This window comes from Homo sapiens, chromosome 7, assembly GCF_000001405.40.
Source record: "Homo sapiens chromosome 7, GRCh38.p14 Primary Assembly".
Taxonomy (NCBI): domain Eukaryota; kingdom Metazoa; phylum Chordata; class Mammalia; order Primates; family Hominidae; genus Homo; species Homo sapiens.
The window spans coordinates 82,409,923-82,423,913 of NC_000007.14; the positions used below are offsets into that span (position 1 = coordinate 82,409,923).

Below are 13,991 nucleotides of genomic sequence, written 5' to 3' on the forward strand. Positions count from 1 at the left end.
ACAAACAACACGCTACGGTACTGAATACTGTAGGCAACTGTAACATAATGATAAGTGTCTGTATATTTAAACATATGTCAACATAGAAAGCTACAGAAAAATAAAGTATTATAATCTCATGGGACCACTGCCATATATGGGGCCCATCATTGAATAAAATGTCATTATTTGGTGCATGTATTTGAAACCGTGCATCTTAAACTATTACACTTACTTTTCTCCTGAGTAGCATGCTTTAGATAAACCTCTAAGTAATAGTTCCTCTAGTTTCTTCAGAAACATAAACACACATGCAGAATTTTAGTAGAAAAAAAGATGCTCTACTTTATTACAAGAAAAGGTATGTTTGTGTGATTTGAGACTTTTACAATATCTGCTTAGGTTGTGTAGGGGAGGCCCTAAAATATACCTTTTCATCCTTTCCTTATGAATCAATCCATCATAGCGGTTTACCTAATCCATTTTTATTAAATATTGTTTATCACTTCTGTACTGCTATCTATCCAACATCTTTCATTCTGATTGGCTTAGCCTTAAGAAAAAACTAACGCATGTTAACAGGCAGTAGAAAAATTACCTCTTTCATGAGCTCAGTGGTCTGAAGGTGCACGCTACATCAGGGGTGGCTGATGCCAGGTGGCTGGCTTGCGACACTTAGGAAGTCCCTCACACCTGTCAAGGGAGGCAGACTGCAAGAGAGAAGGCGAGTCTGACTGAGCAGGCGCGTAAGGGCAAATCCTGCTCCCAACTGCTGCTAGCAGAGCTCTAAAAATAAAGCGACAAAAGCACGGGGAAGGCAGAATGAATTCTTAACACTTGTACTCTTCTATTTCTGTCTGTTACGAAGCAGGTGATCTCAGTACCAAGCGATGAGTCTTTTAACTTTCTATATCCCTCACTTTCAGAAATGATCCTCATGACTGCATTCATTCCAGCTGTTTCAAATTCATAATCATAAAAGGAATCTTTTTTAATCTTTCGAGACTGCCCTCTCTCTCATAGGATTACATTCTAAAATAAGCTTCTTTGATATTCATTTGCCTATTTCACTTTGAAGATATTTTTTCACATGTATTATTCTGGAAAACAAAATGTTTATTCCTTTAATACTTTATATATTCTTTGAGAGAAGCAAGAGTTTTAAAAGCCATTCCTTTATCTAGAGAGTGTCTTCCAGGTAACAATCACTAGCCTAGAGAAAGTGAAAGTATGAACTTGTTAGCAACATCTTTTAATGGCCCTCCAAGTAAGGCCATATTTATTATAAATGTTATTTTAAATAATCTGGTGCCTGAGCAGCTCTGCGTGAGAGGGGAATGCAATGTAGTGGTTGAGAGAAAGTTTGAAATCAGATAGACCTGAGTTATAGCCCTGCCCCACTATTACTGTCTATATAGTCCAGAACAGGTGATTTATTAACTGCTCAATACTTCAGTGTCTTCATTTATAAAAACGAAAATAACATATTTCCCTGTTTTATAGAATTGAGACCAGAATTAAATAATATAAGCAAAACACTACCATACTGCTTGGTATCTAGTACTCAATAGATGACACCAATTATTATTATTGCTAACAACAAATTGTTAACCAAATAAACAGCTGATGATTCAAAAGATAAAGAAGTAATATTATTTAAAATATATTGCTGACATTTTAAAATAAGCACCTATATGTACATCCAAGAATCTAAAACCTCAAAGCCTATTCTCCATACAGGTATGCGGACACCTTGCCTCTTCCCATTCTTTCTGGTATATGGAGCAGAAGAACTAGAAGTAGAAAATATCTTGGGGAATTTTTCCTGAGTAGCAGTCTTCACTGGAGACACTTCTGCATTTTAAGGCATTTCTCGCAATAGGCATGCACAGGACATGTCTAAATTTGCTGAGAAGTAAAAAAAAAATTCACAGCAATTCAGAGTACCTCAGGATGTTAAACTCCTTACCTCAAGCCAAACGAAAACTAAATCTCACACACACACACACACACACACACACACACTCCCCATTATCTGGATTTGCAAATCCCCAAAAAACCCTCTTTCATAGTTAATCATTACCACTTTACCTAAATCTCAAATGGTGCTGCTGAGCTGCCATCCACATAGGTGTCACCAAACACATGACAAGTCATTTTTAAATATAAACTTTGATCAAGACACCAGGCCTGTATATATACTTCAAAACATCAGGTACATAATAAATATATACAATGTTATCTGTGCATTAAAAACACAAAAAACAGGCCATATCTCACATGTATTTGTATCTAGACACTTTGATCAGTCTTCCAAAAACTGTTCAGGGCTTCACTTACATATTTGTAACTGTGTTCAAAGCTATCAGTGCTTGTAACTTTTTTTTTTTTTTTTTTTTGAGACACAGCCTTGCTTTGTCACCCAGGCTGGAGTGCAAAGACACAACCTCAGCTCACTGCAACCTTTGCCTCCAGGGTTCAAGCGATTCTCCTCCTTCAGACTCCCGAGTAGCTGAGATTACAGGCACGGGCCACTAGCCCATCTAATTTTTTGTATGTTTAGTAGAGATGCGGTTTCAGCATGCTGGTCAGGCTGGTCTCGAACTCCTGACCTCAAGTAATCTGCCCGCCTCAGCCTCCCAAAGTTCTGGGATTACAGGCGTGAGCCACTGTGCCCGGCCTAGTGCTTGTAACTATTTAAACCATTTCCTCTGATTTGGTTCTCAAAGAATGTGGAAATCATTTGTTAGTCTCTTGGTAACTGCTCAGTTTATTTCTGAAAGATATACCAAGAATTGATGATTTTCTAATCAGAAAATATCACGATCTGATCAGAAAATCATCAATTCTTGGTCTAAGTGGTGAAAATTATGCAGAAATCTATGTTAAAAAGTACTTGATATTCAAAAAGTCTATTTAGAGTGAACATTATACATCTCCCTTGAAATTATCAAAACATTTTGTTAAATTCAGAATTAATTCAGAATTAATAACAGAAACATTTCCCGTTATTTTTCTCAAATGACAAAAGGAGAAAGCTCTAAAGTGTTTATAAGCCATTCAAATAAGCATTAACAGTTTGTTAAAAGTATTTAGTTTGCTAAATTCTCTTAACTGTAATAATTTAATCTTAAAAATTAGAGAAGTACTATTATTTGAATTAGTCCCATATCTATATATTATTTCTATGTTTTCATGTCGAACAGATTTTGATAAGACTACCTCAGTATTTCTCATATAACATCTCCAAGTAGTTCGTAATTGAACATTTCTTAGTCAATCGCTTTTAATCTTTTATATTTTGTCTGAGGAACAATTTTTATATCTGTGCAAAAGAAACTTCATATTAATTTATTAATTTTTCATCTCTAATATTTAACATTTACCCAAGGAAAATGGGTTATCAGCAAGTTTATTTCTACTCATGCCCTGGTTTCTCTGCCAAAGAATTGTTGTGTCTGCATTTTCAGGCCAGGGCTGTGAAGTGCCTCTTCAGAGTCTTCCCACCTCTGCCTGGCTGCAGAGCTTCACTCTCATGACCCACATCTCCCTGGGGAGCCCCAGGACAATGGCTGACATTGGGTTTGGCTCTCAAGCCCCATCATTCCTTAGGAAAATAAATGGACTTGTTCTATTATTCATACTTGGCAGAAAAACATTTGTTGAGATATTACCATTCTTTCCCAAACAGCTCCATTATAAACAATGAGTCTTAATTGCAGTCAAATCCTTTGTAAAGACAAAGTAATTTAGGAAAAATATAAAGCTTTTAAGGTGGTAGATGTAAATACTTAATGTGTTAATTATTGTTAAAATGAGCCTATAAGTGATCTAAGAAACAATCTTGTTCTATTGGCTTTGTTTCTTCAGAGACTAAATACTGCTTGAACTATGATGGGAAATGCTTATTAAATTATTTGATTAATATATACACACATATATACTCACTAATACAGAATGTAATATATATATAAAATGAAAATATACCATGAATTATTTTATTAATGATATACTATCCTGAATAAAAGTTTAACTAATGAAGTACTAGAATAATAATCTGAGATGTAATAATAATACAGTCAAAATTTTATTTAGTTGGTCAACAAATAAACCTGGAGGCTATTTATGTAGCAAAATCATAGCATGCAATTACTGGTGTCTGCACTTCATCACTTCTAATGATGTCCAAACTTCATTTCAATTACAAGATGAGCTCAGAAAAAGCAGTCCTCAAGCAGCCCATTCACCAACCTAAAGGCAAGATTAATGGTATAAATTCCAAGATGATGGCTTACTGAAAAAGATGAATAGCCTGATATCACATGTAAACATTGTGCTCTACAGTCTTCAAAGTATTCACATATACATTGCCTCATTTGAAAGTCACAACAACACATGGTGCTAGAGAAGAGAGTGAATTTGAATGCATTTTACTGATGAGGAATAGAGACTCAGAGATGTTTATTGCTGTACCCAAGGACCCCTGGCTAGTATGAAATGCCACAATCACATCTGACCCCACACACATATTACAGAAGTGGTTAAGGAAACATGAAACAAACGTGGCGAAAGAAATAAATAGTGGGAAGACCTACTAAACCTAACTATGGACAATAATCTATTGCATACTAATTTGTGGGAAGCAAGAGCAGCAGTGAGTATTAAAAGCATGTATAGAGCATTCCATCCAGGGAGGCCAGGGTAAACATAGTGTCAAGTCCTGAAAGAGAAGGCACACCACATTGATTCAGGCTACAAGTGATTCTGATCCATTCGAAGGAGGTGTATGTGTCCAGAATGTTTATTGTAAAAATATCTTCTTCAAGAAGTTGAACTTAACACTCAACAGCCAGCACTAACAGCTCAAAGTGAGCCTGGACTTTGATTCTACATGTCCATACACCCTAGAAGTGGACACCTCCGTAAAATTGACTGTTTAGTGCACTGGTTATAGCTACTCATTCATACTTATAATCACATCATTATCATTCTGACAATGCACATATTAACAAATTCATATTATCTTAACTTAAAATGTCCCAAAATAGAAGGAACTATTCTCACATTACCTTATTTAGGGGAAGAAGAAAAACAACTTTCTAAATTAGCTCCCTTTTTTATTAAACAAGTCTTTAAAAGCCTAACGTTTCTCTTTATTTCTTGGGAAATCTGTCTGACAAGAATTATCCTATTCACCCATTACACATTTTCCAAACCTGGAGCAGATCCCCTGTGGTTGCACCACAGAAGAGTACAGGAAGACACATCAGATACAAATCTCTTTGTCCAAGAATGCTAGAAAAAATCCCTAGGCATGAAGTCTGCAAGTTGCATAAAAATACCTGAAAATGGCCTGGCATGGTGGCTCACATCTGTAATCCCAGCACTTTGGGAGGCCGAGATGGGCGGATCACCTGAGGTCAGGAGTTCCAGACCAGCCTGGCCAACATGATGAAACCCCGTCTCTACTAAAAACACAAAAATTAGCTGGGCATGGTGGTGGGTGCCTGTGGTCCCTGCTACTTGGGAGGCTGGGGCAGGAGAATCACTTGAACCCAGGAGGCATTGCAATGAGCTGAGATCACGCCACTGCACTCTAGCCTGGGCGACAAGAGTGAAACTCCATCTAAAAAAAAACAAAAAAAAACCCTGAAATTTTGGTCTGTAGGACCTAATAAACAGGCAACATTGCATGTATTCTCGCTCTGGTCAGGTAGGTTATGTATGACTCTTACCCAGTCATAGGCTGTGTGCCACATAAGACTTTGAATTTTGTCTTTAGCTTAATGCACTGCATCTTTTTTTTTTCTTTAATCAGGCTTACTGCTTTAGATTTAGATTAATCTTAATTTAATTAATGTATATTTTCTTATAAGAGAAAAAAATGCCCAGAAGAAAAGCAAGATGGATGAATCAGTGTGTGTAGATCAGTATGTGTACACATAGCCAGTAAAAGATCATATTTTGGAATCCAAACACAGGAAAGATTGAATACTAAATAAAGGAATTATTTTAGAATTCCTTTAGAATTACAGGTGTGAGGTGGCTCACACCTGTAATCCCAGCTCTTTGGGAGGCCAAGACGGGTGGATTGCTTGAGGTCAAGAATTCAAGACCAGTCTGACCAACATGGTGAAACCTCATCTCTACTAAAAATACAAAAATTAGCTGGTCGTGATGGCGGGCACCTGTAATCCCAGCTACTCGGGAGGGTGAAGTAGGAGAATCACTTCAACCTGGGAGGCAGAGGTTGCAGTTAGCTGAGATCGTGCCACTGCACTCCAACATGGGTAACAGCGCGAGACTCTGTCTCAAAAAATAATAATAATAATAATAATAAAGAATTTAAAAATCTCATTTAAAATGTAATCATTGTAATAATTGTGGTATATGACAGTATGCTCCACCAGTCCTTAAATGACTGAATAGTGATGTCATGAGCATCCCAACAGAGCAGCAAAAAGAAGGTAATGATGTCTGGATTCGTTTGCTCAGGCTACCATAACAAACTATTGTCAACCAGGTGGCTTAAAACAACATAAATGTATTGTCTCAGGGTTCAGGACACTAGAAGTCTGAAATTAAGGTGTCGGCAGGGTCATACTCCCTCTGAGAGCTCTCAGGGAAGATCTGTTCAAGTTCTCTCCCCTTGCTACTAGTAATTCTTTGGTGTATGGCAGCATAACTCCAGCCTTCACATGCACTCTCTATTTATAGCAATGATCCTGTGTACATGTCTGTGTCCAAATTCTTCCTTTTTATAAGGACATGCATCATATTGAATTAAGGGCCCACCCTACTCTAATATGATCTGATCCTAACTAGTTACATCTGCAAAGACCCAATTTCAAAATAAGGTCACATTCTGAAGTACTGGGGGTTAGAAATTCAACACAGGAATTTTGGGGGAGCACAAGTCAACCCATGTGGGTACTCGACAGCAGTCTCATATGTAATGCCTAAATTAGGATTGTTCTTGATATTAACGGTTTGCATAACTTGGCTACTTACAGCTGTTTAAAACTCTTAAACTGCTATTGTGGAATATAATACATAGTAATTATCCCATTTCTTAATGCACGTAAAGGAAAGAGTGATCCAGCATATGAAGAGGCAAGAAGTGTTTCTCAGTCATTGTGGTTTATTCAAGTTAATACATCTACAATCTACATATATGTATAGAAGTTGATAAATATATAGTTTCACTACATGTTACATATACACATTAGTAATATATAATCCAAATTTCCTAAAGATCACACCATATGGCAGATGTATTAGTGAGATAGCCTCAGCATAGGGCCACCACAAAATCTGTTGTCTGACCTGAACAGTTTTGAGAGTGAAAGGGCACTATTAACAATTAGGCTAGACTACAGGCAAAAACCAGAGGATTCACAGATCTCCAGGAACAAGGGAAATTTACCCCTGGACATTTGACTGTACATTACATAATTACACTTCCTGCTTTACCAAGCACTAAATTTAACAGCTTAATTTAGAAAATAATTTGAACTACCCAATTTACCTGTTTTAATAGCATACTCGTTATCAGGAATTAATGAATAAAACTCACTGATGTGACAAAACTTTAGCAAAATGCAAACACCACATCAGGATTATGAGAATCAGCCAGAATTGGACACCACTGGCCACGGAAACATGTATCATGGGTCAATTTACTATGCAGATTCAACTAGATATCTGCATTAAAGTAAAACCTTAGATCAGTGGTTTTCAACCCAGGGTGATTTTGCCCCTCACATCCAACATGACAGTAAACAAAGGGGAAGAGCCGAATTCAAATAAAATGATAGTAGGTATAGAATACACGTTTACCAAATTTGTCTGTAGTAGGAAAGGTAAAGGCAAAGATCCTTCTGCCCATTTATAAATATTGAGTACCTATAAAAAGGGGGAGATCAGTGTGTGAAAAATGCATTAGATTTTGCATATAGTGAGAATGTAACATATTTACGTTTTGTAAATAAAATGACATACAAAAAAAGTATTATGGAGAGGACAATATTAAAAGGAGACACTAACCACATCAACATGAGTCTTTCTAGTCTTTCCTAAGACAATGTATTAGACTGTTCTCAAGCTGCTATAAAGAACTGCCCAGGACTGGGTAATTTATAAAGGAAAGAGGTTTAATTAACTCACAGTTCCACAGGGCCAGGAGGCCTCAGAAAACTTACAATCATGGTGGAAATGGAATCAAACACATCCTTCTTCACATGGCAGCAGGAGAGAGAAATGAGTGCCCAGCAAAGGAGGAAGTTCCTTATAAAACCATCAAATCTCATGAGAACGAACTGAGTATCATTAGAATAGGATGGGAGAAACCAGCCCCCTGATTCAATTATCTCCACCTGGTCCCCCCTACCACAACACATGGGGATTATGGGAACTACAATTCAAGATGAGATTTGGGTGGGGACACAGCCAAACCATATTAGACAATAAGAGTAGAATGCATCTGAAATATTTAAGAGCCTCATTAATGCCAATCAACTAAAGAAGTTAAATATTGTATTATTTCTTCTTTGTAGAAAGAAGAAAAAGAAGCAGAGATACTACTTTTTGATAGAATAAAGCAAAAGATATTACTTTTTGATAGAATAAAGCAAAAATAAATAAATAAATAAAGTAACAGAGATTCTGGGCTTCCATTTTCCCTCATGTAATAGCATTCCCTCCTCACCAATGTAGACAGTGACCACTGGGATTTCTGTTTCTATAATACACCACTTTGTGGTGTCATTCTTGTAAGTGCACTGTCCTATAAGACAACAAGCATTATCCATTTACAGAAAAAGTAGACCAACAGAAACACCTGGTATTCTTTTCATACTCACCAAGATGTTTTTGGTGTATCAGAGTTCAGGCCAGCCCTATAAAATTTCAGAGCCACATATAAGACTAAACATTAGGCTGGGCACGGTGGCTCACGCCTGTAATCCCAGCACTTTGGGAGGCCGAGGCAGGCGGATCACGAGGTCAGGAGATCGAGATCACGGTGAAACCCCGTCTCTACTAAAAATACAAAAAAAAAATTAGCTGGGCGCGGTGGCGGGCACCTGTAGTCCCAGCTACTTGGGAGGCTGAGGCAGGAGAATGGCGTGAACCCGAGAGGCGGAGCTTGCAGTGAGCCGAGCTCGCGCCACTGCACTCCAACCAGGGTGACAGAGCAAGACTCCATCTCAAAAAAAAAAAAAAAGACTAAACATTACATGCCTAAAAGTAAAGCGTCACACTGTCATGAGCCTGTCCCCAAAGTAATTTTACTGTTTTGGGGTCTCTGTAATTGTACCTCTCTGAAAAAAGCCAAGCACTTTCAGCCAAGAAAAAAAAATCTTCATTAGTTTACTATGCAGCTTTCCCAGGTGAAACAAATACCCTTAGCAAGAGTGTGTGTCCATGTTAATTACAGCTTGCCCACAGGCCACCCTGGCAACTGTCCAGCCTTCCTGATATCTACAAAGCATTTTATGCACTATGCACATGGGCAGGATAGATAGCCTAATTTCCGCTCCAGACCCAGCAGGAAAGAACAGACACTAGTACCTTTCTGCTAAAGACATGTTTCACTGCAAAATTTTCCTTCAGGAAATTCACAGATCTCCAGGAACAAGGGAAATTTACCCCTGGACATTTGACTGTACATTACATAATTACACTTCCTGCTTTACCAAGCACTAAATTTAACAGCTTAATTTAGAAAATAATTTGAACTACCCAATTTACCTGTTTTAATAGCATATTCGTTATTGGGAATTAATGAATAAAACTCACTGATGTGACAAAACTTTAGCAAAATGCAAACACCACATCAGGATTATGAGAATCAGCCAGAATTGGACACCACTGGCCACGGAAACATGTATCATGGGTCAATTTACTATGCAGATTCAACTAGATATCTGCATTAAAGTAAAACCTTAGATCAGTGGTTTTCAACCCCGGGTGATTTTGCCCCTCAGGAGACATCTGATGATATCTGGTGACATTTTTTATTGTCATGACTTGAGGAGGGATTGCTTACTGGCATTTACTATGTAGAGAGAGGCCAAGGACGCTGCTAAAATCCTACATTGCACAGGACAGCGCCCCCCGCCCTTCCACTTCAAAGAACTGTCTGATCCAAAATGTCAATAGTCCTGAGGTTGAGAAATTCTGCCTTAGGTTATGTGAGAAAAATTAGTGGTTTTGCATTAATTGTGTGTTAATACTATGTTCCATAGATGCATTTTAATAGACATTAATAGTTATGTTCAGTCAAGTTTCTCTGATACGATTCTCCTACCTTGTCAAAATTATGAATTGTCACCAAATACTACACAATGAAGTACAAACAAGTTCTATAAAATTAAAATAAAATAGTCTAACATTCATCATGCTGTGTCTGAATTTAGGAGAGATGAAGGACTGGTCAGAAATATAAATGACCAGCATTCCTGATATTTTCCTGGCATCTACAAAATGCAAAACTAAATTACATGTAATGTTAATTGAGGATTCCAAAGATCTTTTAATTTCCAGTTTTCATGCATTACCAACTCATGATTTTTTTTCCACCCTTAAATATGAAACTTGCACTGCTTTTAACCTACCACATTACCAAGGTCAGAAACAGAACCACTCTCATTGTCAGATAAAAGCATGAGAAAAGTATTCACAAATGTACTTAACTAGACATAAGGTGGAAATCCAGTTCTGTCTCTTATAAAATGCTAAAAATCTTCTCTATGATACACTTTAAAAGGAATAATTGCTTTAAATGTTTTGAAGTCCTTGCCGCATTATTTATAAACAACAACTTTGCAGAGTACTTGCCTGTGATAAATTTGTATTATGTTTTACGTGGATCAAATTTTTGACCTTCAATTCAGAATGACAAAAAATAGAAAAATCATAGCGAGCAGGAAAAAAAAAAAAATAAGGCCACACCTTTCTCTAACATTGGTTGTTATTATTTAGTCCTTTATGGATAACACATAACCATCTTTTACACTTCTTCAAGTCCATATCCTTCAAAACATCTTTATTCTTCTTATCCTAATGTTCCATCCCTCAATCTAACACACGGGTATTCAGGTATCTACAATTTTATTAAAAAGCCCTTGTGCTTTATTATTACAAAATACAACATACAGGGCAGTTTTTTCCTGACCATGCTCAGCTTATCAGAACTACTTTATTATGCACCACTGATCTCTATTTAAAATGATGACTTTGTTTTATAACAGAATCTAATGTTCTAAGGAGACAGTTTCTGATGTTAGAAAGGGGAAAACCTCAGGAAGCATTCTTTCAAAACCTGCTCCATGACTTTATGCCAAGACATTGGTAAGCAAACTTTCAGAAGCAGATATCCCAGAAGCTCCTCTTCTGAAACAGTGTTTGACAGTAGCAATCACAAGTCAGAACAGAACTACGAAATAATTACCTTTTAAAAAATACAGTCTGCATTTAAATGGTCTACACAGCAGAGATTTATCTGTGCTAATAAACTCTCTTTAAAATGACATCACTAGGAAGATTCTGCTTATCCAATGGTTTGAGACAGAAGGGTTCCTTTGAATTTTAGAGGGGAGAGGGCTCAAATCATGGGTGATACATAAAAACAAGAATTTGAATTTGATCAATCAAGGAAGAGCGTTTGGGCACTGATACTCCAAAAAAGAATAAACATCATGGGAGAAGGGCAGGGAAAGAGAGGCAGATGAATACAAAGCCACATTTCATCACAGTTGATGATTGCCTCCTGCACTATGAAGAATGCTTATATCCCTTTCAAGGTGCTTACCTCCATACAGGGCTTGCTCAGAACTCATCAGACCACAGATGCGCCTTAATTCACCATCTCATTGCAAATGAGGATGGTCAGGGAAGATAAAGAGAAACACACAGAATCTTATTTCAGGACTATCTGAAGTCTACAGAATGATCTTACAGATAATTTGGAATCAACAATTCTGGTCTCCAAAAATTTCCCATGATGCAATAAATGTTTTGGTGGTTTCATCCATTTATATTCCTTAAACATACTTCGTCTTTTATTCCATGGATCCTTGAGAAAAGGCCTAACCATCCCCTAAGTGAAGCTGTTCACAAAGAAGAGAATACTTAATTTTTAAATGTGAGGTTTATGAGGCAACATCTGGCTTTAAATGCCCATCCCATATTTTTACCCAAATGGCAAATAAAGTAATTAAAATATTCATGTTTAAGGGTCATCTTGCCAAGATACATTAAATGATGTGCACATAAAATGTAATAATAATTAATATCTTACTGCAATAATTAACTATAATGGTCACCAAGGTGTTGGACAATTTCTATTGGTAAGATTTCAGCAGCTATCTCTTAGAATCATGGCCTCTGAATTCTCTTTCTTGAAGATTTTCATCCTTGATGAATAACCTCCATGATGTTATTTATAAGGAAATTTATCAATAACGTATTTGTTGTGAGCTTTATCCAGAAAATCACTTAAAAGGGAAAAGCTACTCTAGGAAGTTTAGCAAGAGTATGTCTAGCACTATTTATATTGGTATTCTTCTTGACCTGACATTGTAACTATTATCTGGGAGATGCAGCATCTTTGTAAAAAGATCTAGTTCAATTCAATTCGTTTTAAGTGACCTACTGGAAAGCAGAATAAGGACCCCTCAAGAGAGTCTTGAAACACATAACTCTGATTTTCTAGGAAACTAGTTTATCTCAACAGTCTGGAAAAACTCCATAGAAGTTCTTGAGACAGCTGTTCCGGAAGAAGTGTATAGTGACAGATATAATGTAGTAAGGACTGCATGGAAAGGCATTTAAAAAAATAGATAACCTTGTACTAGTCTTTTGATATAATTTATGCCTTGGTTTCATTAGGTAAAATCCTACGTGCAACACAGAACATCATTGGCAACAGGCTGTCAGAAAAATCTCCAATAGAACAGAAAATAAGCAAAAGATGCTTTGTCAAGAAAAAAAAAAAATTTCCATGCATTTTAATTCCAGTGTGCACAGATGCCTGGAAAGAAACTAAGGTCCACAAAATGAAAAAGCTCTGCAATTCTCACTATTTGCTAACTGAACATCTGAACCAAACTTAAATGACACACTCCATTCCTTGAAAACTTTTAATTGCCTTTTGCAAGAATATATTGTTTAATTCTGGATGTGTTTCAATACAGGGAGAATTATTTATACTTTTGTACTTTCGCAGACACTCTGAGATCTGAGTTATCAATGGAGACTTTTATATAGCCTCAGCCCCATAGGCCAAATATATTTTAAACAGATATATATATATACATATATATACACTTTCTTTAACGTAGAGAGAACTCAACCTGCCCCAGGCATGCATTAATGTTTTTATCTTCATTCTTGGAAATAAAATCTTTGTGGATTAACAATTTTACATACATCTGCTTCTTGACTATATACAAATAATCTCAGAAGCCATCAAAAGGGAATAGCTACCTTCAGATTAGCTGATTTACTGAAACTATGAACAAAGAGTATGCAGTCCTCCTTTTCACTGCAGTATCAAAATAGTTGGTTTGCTGAAAGCAAGTGTTTGAATTCATGGCAAATAGTAAATGTTCTAAAGAGAACACATTAAAAGCCAAATTTGCTTATGAGCAACAAAATTCTGGCAAGGAACTACAGAGCTTGTAGTTCCTCGTCAAATAGCAGGCTTCCTTCAAACCAAAGCATTACGATTACTTTGAGGAAAAGGCCATTGCGATCCATAGCTAAAATAGAAAGTAAGTGTTAAAGTAGAGCCTATCACTTTCATGTAAAATCATTTAATGTGAAAATCTTCTATTGTAGTTTTTGTAACGCCATTTTCAAACTGAAAACGGTAATTTAGTTATGTCCTAAATACTCAAAGTAAACTAGAGCTATTCAGATTATGCTACTCTGAGGCTGCTAATCTGGGAACTGTGTCTACCAGTCCACAAGAAAAGTGCACAAACTGGGAGTGTTTACACACTTTTAAA

At 36.7% G+C, this 13,991-nt stretch overlaps 1 protein-coding gene across 16 annotated transcripts in view, besides 1 other annotated feature; it reads right to left on the reverse strand.

Moving 5' to 3' along the window:
* The window catches only part of CACNA2D1 (calcium voltage-gated channel auxiliary subunit alpha2delta 1), a 497,513-nt gene that overhangs the window by 463,479 nt on the left and 20,043 nt on the right, over positions 1-13,991 (reverse strand). The window contains exon 1 of one of the 16 annotated variants that reach the window (XM_006716120.4): positions 578-715. The exons of the other annotated variants lie outside the window; for them this stretch is intronic. The gene's annotated coding sequence lies outside the window, so the exon portion shown is untranslated. Of the gene's footprint in view, positions 1-577; positions 716-13,991 lie in introns of those variants that run through there. 16 annotated transcript variants of the gene reach the window in all.
* Positions 383-1,870: an enhancer, noted in NCBI's record as "VISTA enhancer hs2419". NCBI's record gives its function as "enhancer in: somite[12/12] | limb[11/12] | branchial arch[9/12] | eye[10/12]" and the evidence as "EXISTENCE:transgenic organism evidence [ECO:0001131][PMID:17130149]".